Genomic DNA, 20,987 nt, shown 5'->3' with positions numbered 1-20,987 from the left:
TAGAGAGACTTTGGAAGCAGACAGGCTGAAGCAGTTAGTGAATTTGTAGAAAGGATTCTTTCACAAATGGAAGGCTGAAAAATAATGGGTGATGACATCCATCTTCCAAGGAAAAGAGTAGGAGACTAAGAAGGTTGTTTAATGCTTAAAAAATTATCCATTAGAAATAAATCATGTGGCTGCATCCAGCTGATGGGAGACTTGGGGTACACATTTTTATGTACCAATCTGTCAACTCTCTTACTGTGGGAAAAGGGGAGAATGAGTATTAGGAAGCAAAGAGCTGTCTCCGTCCCAGAGAAGGTTTATGGAAATGCTTAACACAATGCTCAGTTCACAGCAAGTCACCAAGAACTATTAGTGTCATCATACCAATAATCAAAAAGAGAAAATGGAAACTTTGTTACTTTTTGTGAGACGATATCCAAACCTATAAAGACCCCAATTTTCACTGCTATTTTTCAGAGTTGAGCAAAAGCACAGATATGGAATTAGAAGTCCTGGGTTCAAATCCCTTAGGCAAAATATTTAGTCTCTCTGGGTTTCAGTTTCTTCATCTGTAAGTTGGAAATAATGATATCTACTTCGTGGTGGTGGTTGTGAGTGTTAATGAGAAAGGCTGTAGGTTAAACTCTATAGCAGAGTTTCTAGCACAAGAGTTGATACTCAACAAGTGTTTTTTCATCAGTCCATTCACTCATGTATTCATTCAACAAATATTAATCAATTTCCTACTATGTGTTAAGCACTCTGGTAGGTGTTAGGAAGAAAGTGATGAATACAATAGGTTATTTCTGACCTCAAGGAGCTGTGGTATAGTTTAGTGGTACACAGACATTAAACACAGTTACTAATTATAATTATTGTTGTAATAAATAGTATGAAAACAATATGAAGAGACTCTCAGTATAGAGATGAATCATAGGTCAGGATTAGGGTGCTTATGGAGAAAAATCACCAGGTAAATGAATTTGAGAAATAATTAAAATGTAGAATCAGTGAGTGTAGGGATGATGTCTAAACAATGGGTAGATAGGGATGTCATGTACTGATGATGGGGAAGACAGAGGCAGGGATGTAGAAGGAAGTCTGTGGAAAGAAGGAAGGAAGGACGGACGGATGGCAGATAGACAAAGGAACAAATGAGGACTGCTTTATTAGACAAATAGAAAAATAGAGAAATGGGTGAGACTGGATAGATCAATAATAAATCTTTGGTGGAGTATGTGGGGCATATAGGTATAACTCAATAAAACAATACTGCATTATTTATTTTTGTAGGATTCCCTTTTTTGAATAGTTAGAAGATTTGGATAATGGGCGTCACTAAAACATTGATTTTTGTTGAGAGTTAAAATGCCATAACATTTTTAATGTTAAAAGAACACAAACATATATACTTGAGAATGAAACTGGATCAAACAAAACTGTATTTTCTAAAGTCTTTAAATTACACACTTTCTAGCAATCATCATTCTTTTATACATTCAACATATTTCTGAAGACTAAATTGGAGGGTTGGAGGATACCAAGATAAACCATGTGTGGTTTTGCCTTCAAAGGGTAGGGGAGACAGGATTAACATATATGTGAAGATAACATGATGAAAATCATGAATTTAAGAAAAATATGGATAAAACACTATAAACATCCTTTAATTCTTTTAAAATTGATACATAATAATTTACATATTTATGGGGTACGTATTGGTGTTGTGATACATGTAACGTATAATGATTAGATTAGGATAGTCAGCATAGCCATCATTTCAGACCTTTTTATGTGGGATCCTTTTTCTTATTTAATCCTCAAAGTAACCCTTAGAAATATGTAGCACAATTATTATTATTATTATTATTATTATTGTTTGAGACTGAGTTTCGCTCTTGTTGCTCAGCTGGAGTGCAGTGGCGTGATCTTGGCTCACCGCAACTTCTGCCTTCCGGGTTCAAGCAATTCTCCTGCCTCAGCCTCCCGGGTAGCTGTGATTACATGCATGTGCCACCATGCCTGGCTAATTTTGTATTTTTAGTAGAGATGGGGTTTCTCCATGTTGGTCAGACTGGTCTCGAACTCCTCACCTCAGGCAATCCACCTGCCTCGGCCTCCCAAAGTGCTGGGATTACAGGCGTGAGCCACAGCGCCCGGCCTGTAGCAAAATTATTAATATCATTATTTTACAGATGCTAAAACTGAGATGCAGAGAGGTCAAGTGACGTGACAGAACTAGAACTTGAGCCTCCAATCTTATCCACCATCTCCCCTCTACCACACACCACCTATAAAGAATGAGAAAATCGGCCAGGCGCGGTGGCTCACGCCTGTAATCCCAGCACTTTGGGAGGGCGAGGTGGGTGGATTGCCTGAGGTCAGGAGTTTGATACCAGCCTGACCGACATGGTGAAACCTCATCTCTACTAAAAATAAAAAAAATAGCCGGATGTGATGGCAGGCACCTGTAATCCCAGCTACTCGGGAGGCTGAGGCAGGAGAATCGCTTGAACCTGGGAGGCAGAGGTTGTAGTGAGCCGAGACTAGGCCATTGCACTCTAGCCTAGGCAACAAGAGTGAAACTCCGTCTCAAAAGAAAAAAAAAAAAGACTGAGAAAATCAGTAGTGAAGGTGGGAGGAGACAGTAGGATGGCTGAGGATGTGTCTCAATATGCACCTCTGGGGTAAGGCCTTTGGGAGAAGGGAGAAAAGAGTAAAACAGCCTGCATCCTTACTCAGCTGATTTCTTCCCCTTTACAGGTCGAAGTATTTCCATGGGAAGAAGGTGAATGGAGAGATTGAGATCCGAGTGGAGCAGGTAGGTGGGAGCTGTGTCTTTAGCACTGTCAACTGACCTTTTCTGCCGCTGGGGCTGTTCTTACATGCAATCTTGGTCCCCATCTTATGTGGTCATAATGAGCCAAGATTACCAGAAAAGTCCAAGCTTATACTTGGGAGTCTCATTAAATTTCAGAATTGTTTGGGCCAGTGGTTTCCAACCTTTTATGTTTTAGCAGAGACCCTTTCTTCAAGGGAAATGTCAAATAGGAACTCATTCTACAAAAGAGAGACACGTAGAGCTGCTCTGATGGAAATGGGCAGGTGGAGCCCAACTTCTGTCTGTTCTATACCGTTCCTTTTGGCCCCTGGGGCATCTCCTTGCAGCCACCTGGGCTAGAGAGCATAGTTTAGGAACATAATGAAGGGCCTTGAATCCTGCCTCTCTCATTTTCTAGGTTTTGGGTAGGTGACTTAATCTCTCTCTGCCTTGATTTCCTTATATCATTGTGGGGATTAAATTATTTAAAACCTCAGAAGGGACCAGAATTGCAAATACTATCTCTTGCTATTGCTATTAATATCAATATCCAGGTCCCTCATTTTATGTGGAAAGAAACACAGATTTTTTTAGGGCTGTGTAGGGAGGCAGTGGCAGAATCAGGAGTGGAAGGTGTGGTCTCCTGGCTCCAGATCAAAGCTTTCTCCTGTTCGTTCCGCGAGGACCTCCTCTCTGCCAAACACTGTGCTCAGCCTTAGGAGAGCACATTTGAGCATAGGTTCTGGAGCCATACTCCAGGTTTGAATCCTAACACCGCCCCTTACTAACCTTGTGACCTTGGTTGAGCAATACTTACACTCCCTCCAGTTCAATTTCTTCATCTGTCCAACTGGGGCAATAATAGCATCAGCCTGTGTTCATAGGGTGCTGTGAGGATCAAACGAGTTAGTCCATGAAAAGTGCTTGAACAGTACCTGGCACATACTGGGCACTTAGTAAATGTTACCCATTTATCATCAGCATCATTATTCTTTATCCTCTTCCTACTCCTCCTCCTCCTCATCATCAAAGGCAAACAGTAAATAACATAGACAAGGTCCTTGCTGTAAAAATGATTTCAAAATACAATTTTTAAAATGGGGGGCATGACTGTTCTTCTCCCTGCACTTTTTGAGCTTACCGTGTCAGAGAAACAGAAAGGTCTTCTAAGCAAACTAAGTTGGCTTAATATTAAAACACCTACACTTTGAATTTCAATTTGATTCTGTGGCTTTCAAGTCAACCCAATGTCTACTGGTTTTCCTTCCATGGCAGAGAACAGGTTATTTTTGTTCATTTTGCAAATATTTGTCAAGAGTCTACTATGCTAGCTAGCTAATATGTGGAGAACGAGTATATAGAAGAAGAGGCCCAGTCTCCAAATGCCTGTGGTCTAGGAGGAGAGGTGAGCTAAGTCTTTTCTTTTCTTTTTCTTTCTTTCTTTTTTTTTTTTTTTTGAGATGGAGTCTCACTCTCTTGCCCAGGCTGGAGTGCAATGGAGTGAACTGCAACCTCTGTCTCCCGAGTTCAAGTGATTCTTCTGCCTCAGCCTCCTGAGTAGCTGGGACTACAGGCATGTGCCACCATGCCCGGCTAATTTTTTTATTTTTTATTTTTTTTCTATTTTTAGTACAGATGGAATTTCACCATGTTGGTCAGGCTAGTCTCAAACTCTTGACCTCAAATGATCTACCTGCCTTGGTCTCCTAAAGTTCTGGGATTACAGGCGTGAGCCACCACACCTGGCCTACAGAACAATAACATTGATGATGGTAGCACACTTTTATTGAACATTTACTATTTGCTAGATGCCATATTAAGTGTTTTCCATGCAGTCACTCATTCAATCCACACAGTATGCCTGTTGCTGAGGAAACTTGGGCTCAGAGAGCTTAATAAATTGCCCAGGCAGGTCACACAGCTAGTAAGAATGCAGTGAAGCTGGGATTTGAACTTACAGGTAGAAGCCAGGGATGAGAGGTCCAAACTTAGCACTCCTGGCAGCAGAGGTCACAGTCAACTGAAAGACTCAGGTGTGGCCTCGAGGAGGGAGTGGTGTTTGAAATAGATCAAAGAATGGATAGGATGTCAACAAGTGGAGATGGTGGCGTGAAGAGCGTGTGAATGGAGGAGGCAGTGTGAGCAAAGATAAGGAGACCAGAAGTACAGGGTATGGAGTGACAGGGAATGCGGTGTGGTTCTCCAAAATAGGACACATCATCTTCCCCTGCGCCCACCCTACTCCTCCCTAATTCTCTCTCTCAATGAAGAGTGTGGCCATCTACCTTCCACCTTAGCCAGAAACCTGCTCTGGCTCCCGGATGTGCCCCTCTCCCTGTACCACTGCACCCATTCAATGACTGGACCCTGCTGACTCCGCATCTGATATTTCCTGGTCCCTCCACTTCTCCCTTCATCCCCATCACCTAGATCCTTGGCTGGACCACCCTCAACTCTCGTCCAGTCTTCCTCATCAACAGCCTCACAACTTCATGTTTTCCACCCATCTCCAATGTATTCTTCATCCCAACGCTAGAGTGATCTTCCTCAAAAAGCAAATTAGGTTCTTTGAAGTGTTAGCTTTACAATCCTTTCCTCAAAGACTCCTTCTCTGAGTCTTTCCAGATTTAAATCAGGTAACCTGGTTATTCCCTTTCATAGCTCCTCAACTTTTTCTTCCTGGCCCTTATCTGAGTTTCTAGCCACACATTTTGAGTGGGACGATTTGCATGAGGGTGGAGACTATGACTGTCTGGATCTTACCCTAAGTAGCACTGGGCCTGGCACAAAAGAGAACTGAAGGAAATATTTGCAGGATGAATAACTGATAGATTCTACAGATTCCAGGCTGCTTGTCAGTTTCCAGGGGCGATAAGTCACCGCTTCTTTTTTTTTTTTTTTTTGGAGACAGTCTCACCCTGTCGCCAGGCTGGAGTGCAGTGGCGCAATCTCGGCTCACTGCAACCTCTGCCTCCCGGGTTCAAGCAATTCTCCTGCCTCAGCCTCCCAAGTAGCTGGGACTACAAGCACCTGCCACCACACCCAGATAATTTTTGTATTTTTAGTAGAGATGGGGTTTCACCATGTTGTCCAGGATGGTCTCGATCTCTTGACCTCGTGATCCACCCGCCTCGGCCTCCCAACGTGCTGGGATTACAGGCCACCACACATGGCTACCACTTCTTAATCTCCCCTCAAAAATCTGGGTTTTCCATAAACCATCTGGTAGATACTTGGTTGCCAGCTGAGCTCACCCTGCCTCATCCCATGTGTGGAAATCCCAGGGGCATGTTTTAATTTTCCCCTTTTATCTTAGCAATGCCATTGGCCCAACTTGTCAGTACAAAATCTATGAGCAGGACCATCAGGGAATTGCCCTAAGAATAACTCACCCAGGGGCTCTGGGGCCCGTCAGCCAGTCTATGAAGTCTACAATCACACTGAGAAACCTTGGCTAATTTAGAGTCATTCTGATTTCCAACCTGCCCCTCTATGAAAGCCAGAAGGTGAATTAGCCAGGAAACCAATTAGCAGGTCATTTGGGCATTTTTCCCCAGTAGACATACCTTTCCAAATCCATCTTGGAATCAGAATCACTTGTCTTTGCCCATCTGTATCAATGGGTGGAACACACAAGCAACCCCCCCCCCAGGAATCTCACATGCATCCTTTAGCACTTGGGAAAAGTCTCAGGACGGAAGCCACTGTTTAGTCTGAGCTGGCCTCACATTTTGGGATCCTGTCTCCCAACCAAGGGCCAAATTAACCAGATAATTGCACTGTCTGGGTTTTGCTGGACAGAGCGAATGAGTTAGTTGTGGTTGGCCTAGAGGAAGCCTCCGCCCCTTCTCTCCATCCTCTTCCCCCCAGTCTAAAAACTGCTTGCCTCAACTTTTACAGAGCCAGGAATCAAGAAACCCTGGGGAGGCCCGTGGAGGAGACAGCACATTTTGCATTCTATTACCCAGAATGCCCTACTGGCTCTGCGGGGCCCTCACAGCAGTATCCTAGTAGGGTCTGAGAGGATCAGGCCAGGATGGTTGGCATGTCAAACTCTCCTCTGTTTATATTTGAGGCAAAGGGTCTTTTTCTCCACAGGCACAAGTCACCCCTCTGTGGGACCAAGCAGTGAGGTTGATGAATGGATTAATATTAAGTAGACTCACAGTTCTGGGACATCAGTGGACTAGGACTTGCTAGGGTAGAGCCTCAGTCTCTAATTTTTAAAAGAGAAGACTGAAATCACCACGGCCAGTCTTTCCTCCGTGTTGACAGAGGTACCAAGGCAGAAAGAACACTAATGCCTTGCTCTAGCAGGTGGAGCAAAAGGCAAGAGAAGGTATAAACCCTGCCCTTGAGCAACTCCCAATCCAATGAAGGAAGCCAGAACGACCCATGGATTTACATATGAATACTAGTTGCTCCTTTGAGTACTGTCCTTGTGTAATATTGGGTTGGGATGGGGTTAGGAAACTGTCCAGGGGAGGCTGCTGTTGGGAGACCTGTTCATCTTCTGCCCTTTATGTATTTAACATCAATGTCTTCTGAATGGAAAGATGAGATATTCCCCTTAAAATATTTTAAACACTTCAGACCCCGTATTTATATTTTCTCACATGCACTTCAGCCTTCAACCCACAATTCTTTCTGGGACATTTCTTAGAATGGACCTTAGCTGTAGATATTGACCATAAAGACCAGGTGATATTTCAAGAAACAGTTGTCAACAAGATAGAGAAGTGTAAGTTGGATGTTAATTCAGTTTGGTGGTTTGGTAACAGGTTGAACATCATCCTCATTAGGAAATGATTACTTGATAGAAATAAATACACCTTGGGAGAAATCTAATGGCTTGCCAAAAGGCTTGTCCTTGGCTTTGTTTTCCTTCTTACTAGTGACTTATGAAATTACATTTGCTAATGACTTTAAACTAGATGGGAGAGAGAATACGCCAGATTAAATTTGATGTGATCAAATTGAATAGGAATACAATATAAAGTCGAGTCGGTGGTGGCAATTCCTGCAGCCTCAGTGAGAGGGAGAGTGCAGGTTCGGCTGGTTGCAGTAGCTCACGCCTGTAATCCCAGCACTTTGGGAGGCCCAGGCAGGACTGCTTGAGCCCAGGAGTTCATGACCAGCCTGGGCAACATTGTGAGACTCTGTCTCTGCAAAAACTAAAAAATGATGACTGACGACCTTAAGCTGATGGGCTGAGTTCAAAAACTCAGCTGTGAAGGAGCAGGATTAAGGAGACTTTTTTTTTTTTTTTTTGAGGCGGAGTCTCACTCTGTCGCTGGGCTGGAGTGCAATGGTGAGATCTCCGCTCACTGCCACCTCTGCCTCCTGGGTTCAAGTGATTCTCGTGCCTCAGCCTCCTGAGCAGCTGAGATTACAGGCACCTGCCACCAGGCCCAGCTAATTTTTGTACTTTTAGTAAAGACAGGGTTTCACCATGTTGGCCAGGATGGTCTCAATCTCCTGACCTCATGATCCACCCGCCTGAGCCTCCCAAAGTGATGGGATTACAGGCATGAGCCACCGCACCCAGCTGGGGAGACCTATCTTGTTAACATCACATGAGAAAAACGAAAAAGACCTAACATTTGAGTTGAGCACAGCTTAATATGTGTGGGAGGAAATGCGGTGTAGGGGTTAAGATCGTGGCTCCAGAGTAAGATAGACTGAAGATGAAATCTCAGCTCAGTCATATTTTAGCTGTGTTTGCTTTTTACCTAAAACATCTCTAAATCAATTTCCTCACCTGAAAATGATGAAATAAATTTTATTCCCTAGAGTTATTGTGTGACAAAATGAGTTAATGTAATATGCTGAACATTTGTTTCCGGCACATGTATTAGGTGCTCAATAAACTACAGTTGAGATTGCTACTCCCCTAAAACCTGATGTCACTTCAGGCTGCACTATCAAACCACAGCAGTTAGAATGCAGGAAGGTGATAGTTCATACACTCCCTCTTACATGCACACACACACACACACAATGCTAGTGAGACACTCTAATAAGAGATCCAGTTGTGTGTTGCTCTGGAAGGGGGTTGCAGCAACCTGGAATGCCTTCTGAAAAGGGATTGGAGTAAGGGAAACTAAGGCCAATAAGGAAAGAGGATTCGTTTAAGGAACTGGAGATGTTTAGTCCGGAGGAAGAAAGGTCTCTGATAGGTCCCAGTCTACTCTTTACAAATATCTACCTCTTGAACAAGTATGGTTGATAAAGTAAGTTACCATTTGTTGAGTCCTTATGAGATAAAGCTGAATGCATTTTATGGGTGAAGTAGGCACTGTTATCACCTCCATCTTTCAGAAACTGAGACTCACAGAGAGTAAGTGTCTTGCCCAAGGTTGCCCAACTAATAAGTGGCATGGGTCTGTTTTTGAACCTAGCCAGTCTGACTTCAGGGTCCTCTTCTTATCCACTGTATATTTTTTTCTTCCAGTGTTGTAAATATCAAGAACAATAAGCAAAAGTATTGATTAAAGCACTTGACATGCATAATCTTATTTCAACCTCACAATGCCTCTTTAAGATGGGTACTTTGAGTTGGGTGCAGTGGCTCATGCCTGTAATCCCAGCACTTTGGGAGGCTGAGGCAGGCAAATCACCTGAGGTCAGAAATTCAAGACCAGCCTAGCCAACATGGCGAAACCCTGTTTCTACTAAAAATACAAAAATCAGCCAGGCGTGGTGATGCATGCCTGTAATCCCAGCTATTTGGGAGGCTGAGGCAGGAGAATCGCTTGAACCCAGGAGGCAGAGGTTGCAGTGGGCGAAGATCGTCCAGCCTGGGTGCGACAAGAGCAAAACTCTGTCTGAAACAAACAAACTAACAAAAGATGGGTACTTTGTCCCTTTTAGCAGATGAAGAAGCTGGGGCTCAGAGATGTTAAACAAGCAGCAGAAATGGGTGATAGAGGAGGAATCTGAACCCAGGTTTCTGTGCTAAGTATCACCCTCTATTGTTTCACTGGAGTTCGAGTTCAGTCTATTGGTGCAATCCTACAGGAAGATGGATTTCAACTTGGTCTACACAGAAACTGTTAAGTAGTGCTGAACTAATAAGGAATGGGCCATGCCTTTTTTGTAGGTAGGGCGCCTCCTGTGCTGGAAATGCTGTGGCAGAAACTGGGTGGCTACCTTGGGGAATATTTCACAGGAAATTAATGTGCTTATAGGAGATAACCTTTATTAATCTTTTTCTTTTTTGGCGGGGGTAAAAGTAGTATATTCAAATAGTTAAAAATTGAAAAGCTACACAGTGGTATGTGGTGAAAAGTCTGCCTCCCACTCTGCCCGCACCAATCTAGTTCTCTTCCATGTACTTAACTATTATCACTAGTTTCTTGGGCACCTTTCCAGAGAAGTTTTAAATGCAATGAGCAAATACATATATATGCTTTTCACAGAGGGTGGTTGGTTAGAAAAACATCAACCATGCTATGTATTTCAGAGGGAATTTAACAAGGAGGATTGATTACAAATGGATCAAAAGGGGAAATCATTTTACCCAGAGGCACAACAGTCCTACATTCACTGTTTGTCACTGTCACTATTGTCACTGAGGAATGAGGAGCCTGGGCTCTTTTTTGTTGTTGCTGTTGTTTTGTTTTGTTTAGTTTTTGAGACAGGGTCCCCCTCTTTCACCCAGGCTGTAGTGCAATGGTGTAATCATGGTTCACTGTAGCCTCAAACTCCTGGGCTCAAGTGATCCTCCCACTCCAGCCTCCCAAGTAGCTTGGACCACAGGTGTGCACCACCATCCATGCCCAGCTTTTTTTTTTTCTTCTTTGTTTAGTTTTTGTAGTGATAAGGCATCGCGATGTTGCCTAGGCTGGTCATGAACTCCTGGGCTCAAGCAATCCTCCTGCCTGGGCCTCCCAAAGTGCTGGGATTACAGGTGTGGGCTACTGCACTTAGCCAGACCTGTGCTTCCACTGAGGCTACAGGAATTGCCACCACTTGTTCAAACTGCTATAGTTGTTGGTGAAGCTTCTGTAACTACCACTAGAAGCAGAATTGTTGCTGCCTTCTTTCTACCTTCAATTCCTGCATGAATGCCTCCCATTGGTAGAAATGAGCTGAAATTATGTGGCAAAAGGATCTGGGGAATGCAGATTTTAGGCTTTCAGCTCCCATAGTGCAGGAGAGACTATAGAAGGATGAGTGGCAATAGACAGTGACTGGCACAGTCCACCCCTTTGGCTACTTGGCATCTACACATGCCTTTCTCCTTATCCATACTCCACTGCACCCTCATTTTTCACTTAATATTTCTTGGAGTTTATTCCATGAGAGTATATGCAGACCTGCCTCATTCTTGTTAAGGATGGCCTGGGGTCTGTCATATGGATACACCATAATTTGTTTTCCATAATTTTACTATTATAGACAATGCTAAACTTATGTCATTTCAAACATTTATTAATCGATCTGTAGGATTCACTTCTAGAAATAGGATAACTTGTTCCAAAAGCATTGCAGGTGGTGGATGCTGTAATGCACATTGAGGAATGAAGGACTTTTCTTCATTCCTCTGTCATTCCTCCTTGAAAGTGCCTCAGATGAGGAGAGCTGCCTCTTCCAAGGTCACATCTCCTTCCTGGTGGCAGTTACATCCAATGACTGGCCGTCAGAGGCTATAATAAATCCCTGTCCCCATCACCCCAGTTTGGGATAACTCTGAAGGGCTGTCCGGCTTCAGAGCTTCTTGCAGAGTTGCCGGAGACCTCTGCTGAGACGGCTGTGTGGCCCAAATTCTCACAGTCCTGCTTCCTTTCTTTTCTTCCCCCTTCCAGTGATGGAGCTCCCAGGGAATTCACTAATAAACCTCCCCCCAGGCTAATATCCATCCCAGGGTCTGCTTTCCAGAGAACCCAACCTAAGAGAACACATTTATAATTTTGATAGATATTGCAAAATTACTTTCCATAGAGGTCACATAGAATTCATCCGTAAGACTCTTCTGGTCTCGATTTCTAGGACTGTACGTGACCCGTGAGTTCTGGAGTCCATCCTGCACAGAATGCTTTCCTGGTTACAGCCCAGGCATGGATGCTGAACTCTGAAGTGCTCCATAATTTGATCTTCCTATTTGACCTCCTTGTGTTTGAAATTCACCAGAGCTTGGTGTTTCTCTGCAGGACTGAGTCGGACAGAACTCTACCCGCTCTGATCCACTAAGCCTTGTTTTGTTAACACAATCCTGCAAGATTTATTTGTTTGGCTTGGCTTACCCTGACCTCAGATGTTCTGTTTTGTATTATTTTTAAAAGCGTGCAGGTCTCCATGGAGGCCTTTTTCTTTTCAAATCTAAGAACCAGCTGGGGGGATAAAAAAAGCAGGTGGAATACTAGGGCCCATTAGCTGAAACATAACTCATTAGAGAAGTGAGTGTTTCCCTTCCTAACCATGGCATTGATTAATGTAGGTTTATCAGCTTCCTGGGTCTACCTTTAGGCTCATCAACTTAAGAACTCTACAGAAAATGGAGAAACAATAACATTGATGATAGAAGCAAAGTTTATTGAACATTTACTATTTGCTAGGTGCCGCATTAAGTGTTTTCCATGCAGTAACTCATTCAATCCACACAGTATGCCTGTTGCTGAGGAAACTGGGACCCAGAGAGCTTAAATAAATTGCCCAGGCATGTGACACAGCTAGTAAGAATGCAGTGAAGATGGGATTTGAACCCAGGTCTGGCTAACTCCAAGGTCTTAGTTCTTAATCAAAGTACATTTATCAGAATATATGCTGGTCATGAATTTGTCTTTACAAAGCTTTTTGCCTTTCCCCTTCCAGCTTGAGTACGTATCCCACAGTATCTTCCTATCTCACCCTACTCTTTTGATCTACTGGGTAAATTACAAATTCATATGAGGTGTTTTCCCAGCAAAACAGTCCTCTTTTCCTGACTAACCCCAATGGTTATTATTCATCATTTCATGTTTCTGGCTTATTCCTGCATAGTTTCTCTGTTAACAATTCTATATTTTTTCATTGTTTTCCCCCAAGGGCTGATGTTCATTATTGTCTTTAAACGTAGCTCTCCGTCTTTACCTTTTTTTTTCTTTTTTTTTTTGAGATGGAGTCTCGCTCTGTTGCCCAGGCTGGAGTGCAGTGGCGTGATATCTTTTTTTTTTTTTTTCCAAATAGAGACGGGGTCTTGCTATGTTGCCCAGGCTGGTCTTGAATTCCTGGGCTCAAGTGATCCTCCCACCTTGGCCTCACAAAGTGTCGGGATTACAGGTGTGAGCCAACACGCCCAGCTAAGCTCTATGTCTTTAGACTGTCTGGATAGTATAATAGCTTGGACTCTCAAGCCAGATCAACTAGGTTTGAATCCCGGCCCCACCACTTCCTGAGTAACCTTGAGGTGGTAATTTAACTGCCCCATGCCTCAGTTTCCTCATATAAAATAGTAAGTGCGCATATAGTTGTGAGACTGAAATAAGTTACTATAAGACTGCATGAAGCACTTGAAGCAGAGCCTAGCATATAGAAAGTGCTTAATAAATATTAGAACTATTTTTATGATCAGCTTCACGTCACTAAACACATTTGTCTGAGTAGTTTCTAGGCTTCAGTCTCTTGAAGCATTCAGAAATAGAAAGGATATAATCCATGCACTGAAGAAGTTTGCAGTGCAGTTTGTGGGATAAAAAATATAAAAAGCTTATGTTTGTGTGTGTGTTTTGATTATTTACACATATGTTCAATCATAGTTCCCATTGATATACAACATTCAGTTGGCACCTGTCATCCATTTCTAACGTCTCTTTGATAGTAGATAGCACAGACTCTGGACCTGAAGAAAAAATGCAATGAATGTTTGTTGAGTGAATGCGTGAGTGAGTTGAAGGTGTGACATAGTCATGGAAGGATAGAGCCAGGGAGTGTCCTAGGAGATTATCTAATCCTGCTCCCTTGTTTAACAGCTGAAAGGTTCAGAGAGGGGAAGTGACTTAGCACACACGTGAAATTATTGTTGGAGTCCAAAGTGTGGAGAGCACTAGCTTTCATCTCCTGGGTCCCTGCTTTTCACACTGCATTTCTCCCCCTGCCCATGCCATCTTTTGTTTTTCCCTTTTAAGAAGCCATTAGTCCCTTCTGATGGTTTTAATAGCAAGCAAAAAAATAGCAAAAACAAATGAAGTTTATGTTTTTCACGTTTACCTGTGAGAAGCCTTCTTCTTGGGAGGAGCCTAGGATAGAGTGCTGAACCATAGCTGATAGCCAAAGGAGAGCTCCAAGCAGCGAGGGCTGGGGAATGCTGAAACCAAGGTTGAATGAGCCCCGCTGATTCTGAACACAACATGGACTGTGTTGCCCGTTGCATGACCCTTTAGACTCTCCTCTTCTTTTCTGCTGGAGGAGAGTACAGCATCCTGGTTTGGTGGCACCATTCAGCACCTGCACTGGAGATGAGAAGGAAGGAGGCATGGGAGTCAAAGGGAGTCCATCCTCTTGCACTGGGAAACCCAGCTCAGTTCCTTGGCCTTTAGCTGCTGTGTTTGGAAATTCACCTTTCCTTACTGCCACACCACTTCATCAGCATCAGCACGGCCCCCTGTTAGTACCATTGATAAATGAGACTCCAGTGGAAATTAAGTGGACATTCTGAAGGAGAACTTAGTAAGCCCTTTCACTTCTTGAAGGATGTGTAACAAAACAAACAGAGCTTGTCTTATCTGAACCTGTTCCTTCATTCAAGAAGCACTCACCGAGCACCTGCTCTGTACTTTGTCCTAATGACAGAGCCCTCCACACTCAAAGGGTTCTTTATCTGGTGGGAAGATAGACATTGAAGGCAGTGGCCAAAATGTGTTGCGACGAGGATCTCTCTATCGTAGAGATTTGTCTAACCTTGGGATGTTCTCAGGAAAGACCTCACAGAGAACCTGATGTGCAGCTGGGTTTGGGGACAAGAATTAGGTGAGGGTGAGTGGGCAGATGTGCACATTGGGCCTTCTAGCTAAAGAGCATGATTCAAGTCTCAGCTTGTCACGTACAGGGCAAATGACCAGGGTATGCCATGCATGAGAAGGGTTGGTGGGAGACGAAGCTGACAAAGAAGGTGGAGGGCAGTCTATTCAGGGTGGGCTATTAGTGCAAGGCATGCAACTAAGAATTGTGTCCTAGAGGCAGGATGTATGTATTGAACTTTTTAAGCCATGGAGTGCTGTGACCGTGATTTCATTTTAGAATGCACAGGCTGACAGTGGTCTTAGAAGATTCGCTGGATAGGAATGGTGGCTTGAGACTGGAGGCAGAAAAGCTCAGCTCTGGATTTGGTGCAAAAGTCATCTCATCCTTGAATATGATGCTTGGGTAGGAGGCACATGGAAGGGACTTCATAAGTGTTAAGTGAATGCATGTACATCCTCGCCACTGTGTTCCTTAACCACTTGAGCCATTCTCATACCTGTAATTCGTATTTGAAACTGGAGGAGAAGAGATGACCTATTTTTCTTAAGACTGAGAGGATGGAGTCAGACCCACATGATGTGTTTCAGCTGGCATTTCTTGAAAGCGAGCCATTGCCAACCTCCTCTTGTTCACCACCTTAGTCCAGCCACTTGGACTAAGCCGTTTCACACTGCACATGTCAACTTGCTCCCAATCTGCCTAATCCCCAGCCTTGTGATTCCTTCATCTGTTGATGATCTCCCTCCCCATGCGCTACTGCCCCTGGTTACACCACTTCTCCAGCGTGGCCTTCAGCTTTTGTGTGGCTACTCTACATTTTCTGCCAGCTCTGCTGTTGTCTGTACCATTTGGGGTCTGGCCCACTCCCTGATGAGAGGAGCCCCCACTGGGCTCACCCCAGCCCTGCCAGCAGCCTCTGCCCGGATGTGCTTACACAGTGGATTTGAGCCTTTGCATTTCAGTGGGAATCAAGGGTTATTAATTAACCTAGGGTGGAACCTATTATGAAACATCCCAGAAAACTGGAATGAACCAAAGGGACTTCTGAACTCACAGCAGGGAAAAATGCCTTTTAATTGACTTGGATGACTTCACTGCAAAAATCTGTCTGGCTGTTATGCTAAACTGGAAACTAATCTATTAGATTGTCTAAGGAATCTCCCAGCCCACTCTAAGCAGAGTCTCCTGAGGAGGGGAGTGAGCTGACATATCAACAGGACTTAGGCATTGAAATGACTTCCTTTGGATCATACACAGTCTGGGCGCATTTTCTAGTCCCTCAGGAAGGAGCTGGGAGGCTGATAGCAGAGAACGAGTTTATGTGCCCTACAATGTCTATCTTTAGTATCACATAGGATTTTAGTAGTTCTAAGGCACTATTTACTTTACAATAGAATTCAACCTAAACTGGACCCGTTTTGGTCCAGTCTTGGCCCCCTCATCTCAGGGAGTTTTAGAGGGTGACCTGAGAGAGTTTCCACTGGCGGTGCCTGAGGCAGATGGCAGCTGTACAGCCTGGGCTCTGAAGGAATTAATGATCATAGGCAGTATCTAATCACATGCTTACTAAGTGTCAGGCACACGCTAAGCATTTCATATGGATTAGCGTGTTTCATCCTCATCATGACTCTGATGAACAGGTACTATGAGTTCCCCCATTCTCCAGATGAGGAACCTGAGGCTTACCCAAGGCCACACAGCATACAAGTGGCAGAACTGGAATTCAGAGTCAGTTTAACTGAAGAATCTGTGTTTATGGTTCTTTTTATTTTATTTTATTATTTTTTGAGACAGGTTTCACTCTGTCACACAGGCTGGAGTGCAGTGGTGTAGTCATGGCTCACTGCAGCCTCAACCTCCTGGGCTCAAGCCATCCTCTCACCTCAGCCTCCTGGGTAGCCGCGATGACAGGTGCGCACCACAACACCTGGCTAATTTTTAAAATATTTTGTAGAGACAGGGTCTCACTGTATTGCCCAGACTGGTCTCAAACTCCTGTGCTCAAGTGGTCCCCACAGCTTGGCCTCCCAAAGTGCTGACATTACAGGTGTGAGCCACCATGCCCTGCCTGTTTATGGTTCTTAATCTTTATGCTGGCTCATCTGGGAAGGTGTATCCTGAAGCAGTAAAATCCAGGGAAGGCTTGGTCACTTTCCTCTCATGCATAAAGGGCTGACCTGTGCATTAGACTTGTTTTGGGGGTCTCAAGCTCTGCACACAAGGCCCTCCATGAGCTTGCCCCTGCCTGCCTTTCCTTGCTCATCTCCTCCCGTGCTCTACCTTAGACTTCGGTCTCACCAAACTGCTGTGGTTCCCCAGTGCCCACCCATGGTAATACCATCTTGGAGTCACATCTCCATGCCTTTGCTTATGCACGTCTCTCCTCCTGGGACATCCTTTCTTAGATTTTGCCATAGATTCTTCAACATTAGCTCCAACATGATGTCTGTGCTGCTTCCTCTGCCCTCCCCCTCCATCCAGGCAGGGTGAGGTGCCTCTTCCCTGTACTCCCCTAGCACCTCATACCTGTGTCTACATCACACTTCCCAGATGACTTTGAGATTACTAATTCACCTGCCCCTCGCTCCCTGTAGACTCTGGGCTCATTGGGAACAGGGACAGTATCTTTATTCATTCCACAAATATTCATTGACTGCCTATGTGCTGCGTGCTCAGGTTACAATGGTGATTAAAAACAGATGGAATCTGGCCGGGCGCGGTGGCCCGTGCCTGTAATCCCAGCACTTTGGGAGGCCAAGGCGGGCAGATCACAAGGTCAGGAGATCGAGACCACCTTGGCTAACACAGCGAAACCCCGTCTCTACTAAAAATACAAAAAATTAGCCGGGTGTGGTGGCGGGCGCCTGTAGTCCCAGCTACTCGGGAGGCTGAGGCAGGAGAATGGCGCGAACCCGGGAGGCGGAGCTTGCAGTGAGCCGAGATCGTGCCACTCACTTCAGCCTGGGCGAAAGAGCGAGACTCCATCATAAAACAACAACAACAACAACAACGAAAAAGCCAGATGGAATCTCTACCTGATGGAACTTAACATCTAATGGCAGGGGCCAGAAATTAATCATATTATCTATCTGTCTCTCTCTCTCTTACGCACACACACAAGCATGCACACACACACACACACACACACACACACACACGTACGCACCATAATTACAAACTGTTAGAAGCCGTGAAAGTAGGGTACACAGTGCTATGGTAGACTGTGGTGGGGAGGCTGGCAGGACACTTATTCGGTACATAATAGGTGCTCCAAGGACCCAGATACCTAATCTGTGTTCAATATATATTTCTCAAACTTATCCAGAGTGGGGAAAGATGAAAGAAGCTAAAGAGAAAAGCTTTAGGCTACTGCAAGAACCCAAAGAGCCTTTGGCATGGTAAACAACACAAACAAAGCATTAGCCCTGCAGGAATCATGCAGATAAATCATTGATATAGTACAGTGCAGGTAAAGCAAGATTTGACATTAACATTTACACAATGTGCAAGCCATCCTCTAAGCAGTTTATCTGTATACATTTAATTTTCATCACCACCCCACAGAGTACTGATGGAACTGAGACTCAGAGAGGTTAAGTGTCCTGCCCGAGGCGACACAGCTAGGAGATGGCAGAGCTGAGATGTGGACCCAGATGCTCCAGAGCCCATACCACTGACCCCTGCATTGACCACCTTTCTATCTCATCTGTTGAATGGGGACTGATCGAGGTGCAGTTTCTTGCTTGGGTCATGCTGCTGGTTACTGTAGAGTCAAACTACCATCTGCCTTTGTCTCCTCCTTGCCAAGTCTGACTTTAGACATCCTAAGGGGAAGAACTTGGCAATAATAAAAGGTCAGCACCAGACAGGAAATGGAGCTAAGTTCTGTCATGGGGCATCAAGGGTTGTACTTGTGGAGTTCTGAGTATATGGTCAAGAAGGAAAATAAACTATTAGTTCAGTGATGTGCTTTTCATTGCCCTCATGCGTTTAACTTTTCAACATATTTCGTCCTTCAGCAACTCCTGAGGTGTAAGGCTCATTATTATTCAGATGAGGAAATTGAGGCTTGGCAAAGTTGAATAGGTCATTGCTTAGTTAGTGGCAGAATTGTGATCATAACCTGTGTCTACCTGTTTTCCCCTGACTCACCTGTTGCCCAGCCAGACTTGAAAAATGACCTGCTTCTTACAGCCTAAAGCAATTTTTCAGATCCATGTTCTCAGGGACCACAGACAGCCTCTCTGGGTTTTCTGACCTTTCTTTTTTTTTTTTTTTTTTTATTATACTTTAAGTTTTAGGGTACATGTGCACAACGTGCAGGTTAGTTACATATGTATACATGTGCCATGTTGGTGTGCTGCACCCATTAACTCGTCATTTAACATGTTAATGCTATCCCTCCCCCCTCCCCCCACCCCACAACAGGCCCCGGTGTGTGATGTTCCTCTTCCTGTGTCCATGTGTTCTCATTGTTCAATTCCCACCTATGAGTGAGAACATGCGGTGTTTGGTTTTTTGTCCTTGCGATAGTTCTTAAGCCATGTTGCTGGAACCTTCCTTTCTTCCCTAAGCAACAGCCCTGAGGTTCATGTCGTGAGCTAATGGGTGAGTTCTTGGCCTGTTTAAAATGGAACTGAACTGGTGCCCTCCCCACCCAGCCCACCTCAGGGCCTGCCTTCTGTCCAGACAGGGAGGAGACGGGAAGGCTCACCCCCTCTAGTGCTGCCAGGAAAAGCAAGGGAAAGCAGAGGGGCCTGAACCTCCCCTTGCTGGGCCAGCCAAGTGCCAGAAACCCCAAACTTTGCATTCATTGGACAGAACCAGATTTTGATTACTCGTCTTAATTTGCTTATTCTTGTACAATTGCTTTGGTCTCTCACTGGCTCCCTTAGCTCTCCACGGTGCAGGCTCCTCAATGTCTATGGGATGAAGGCCAAAGTCTTTAGGCAGCACCAGGGCCCTTCCTAACCTGGCACCAGCCTCGTTTTCTCACCACCTCTCTTTTCCTCTCTCTGCTTAGTGGTCCCCATGAGAGACATTGGAGGAGGCAAATAATTAATTTATAAGGTTTCTTGTTTATGGTGGCTTTCCCTCAAGTTCTGCATGTTGGTGTCCAAAAGTGTTATTTCTATATAATGAATATCTATGCATCTGACCATTTGTTCAGTCATCCATCCATCCATCCATCCATATACTTATGCTTTCTCCATCTCTCTAGAACCTAACTCTCCAGGCTTCTGTTTTGCGGTCTCTAATCAGTTCAGAACTAGGTTTTCCTTCCCCTAAACACCTTCATTAAATTTAGTATTTTGGGCCAGGCACAGTGGCTCATGCCTATAATCCCAGCACTTTGGGAGGCTGAGGTAGGCAGATCACATGAGGCCAGGAGTTTGAGACCAGCCTGGTCAACATGGTGAAACCCTGTCTCTACTGAAAAAAAAAAAAAAAAAAAAAAATTAGCCAGGCATGGTGGCACATGCCTGTAATCCTAGCTGCTCGGAGGCTGAGGCACGAGAATGGCTTGAACCCGAGAGGCAGAGATTGCAGTGAGCCGAGATTGCATCACTGCTGTCCAGCCTGGGTGATGGAGTGAGACTGTGTCTCAAAAAAAAAAAAAAGTATTTTGTAATGTCAATAATAGAGACAATAATAATATCTTAAGCCATTTATCCCTCTCTCTATATAAATGTATATATACATATACATACATATACAAATCTATATATATACATTTATACCCATATAGAGAGAAATTGTTTAAGAGTCATTATTATCTATATTGATAGATAAATATTTATATATATATAGAGAGAGATAGGTAGATAAGTAGGTAGGTAAGACAGACAGATAGATAGATAGATAGATAGATAGATAGATAGATAGATAGATAGATAGATGCCGATACTCTGCCAAGACTTTACTATCTATAACCCAATTTTCTGCTTACAGTGATCTTGTGAGTTACCTGTTACTATTACAGACAAAGAAACTAAGGTTCAGAGAGGCCCAGCAACGCAGCTTAGAATTGGCAGAGCCAGGATTTGAACTCCTGTCTGTCTGGCTTCCGTCTGGCTCCCAAGCTGCCCATGCTCTATAAAACACTGTGTCCTCCTCACTCCCACAGCTAACTCGCCGCCTCATTCCTGAGATATCATCTGCTCTCCCCATCATACTGCTTCCGCGTGGCTTTGGGTTTCTTTTCAGTCTTACCTTAACTGTTCTCTGCATGTAT

The 20,987-nt window shown here is 44.2% G+C and overlaps 1 protein-coding gene across 17 annotated transcripts in view; it reads left to right on the top strand.

The window, feature by feature from the left end:
• SYN3 (synapsin III) overlaps positions 1–20,987 on the top strand; it is a 550,562-nt gene that overhangs the window by 74,928 nt on the left and 454,647 nt on the right. For all 17 annotated transcript variants that reach the window (NM_001369909.1, NM_001369907.1, NM_001135774.2 and 14 more), the window contains one exon: positions 2,752–2,809. In NM_001369909.1, coding sequence (NP_001356838.1) covers positions 2,752–2,809 — 58 coding nt within the window. The remainder of the gene's footprint in view (positions 1–2,751; positions 2,810–20,987) is intronic.

This window comes from Homo sapiens, chromosome 22 (genome assembly GCF_000001405.40).
Source record: "Homo sapiens chromosome 22, GRCh38.p14 Primary Assembly".
NCBI classification, from domain to species: Eukaryota; Metazoa; Chordata; class Mammalia; order Primates; family Hominidae; genus Homo; species Homo sapiens.
The sequence above is the reverse complement of the archived record's forward strand: the minus strand, read 5'-3'. Positions and strand labels throughout refer to the sequence as shown.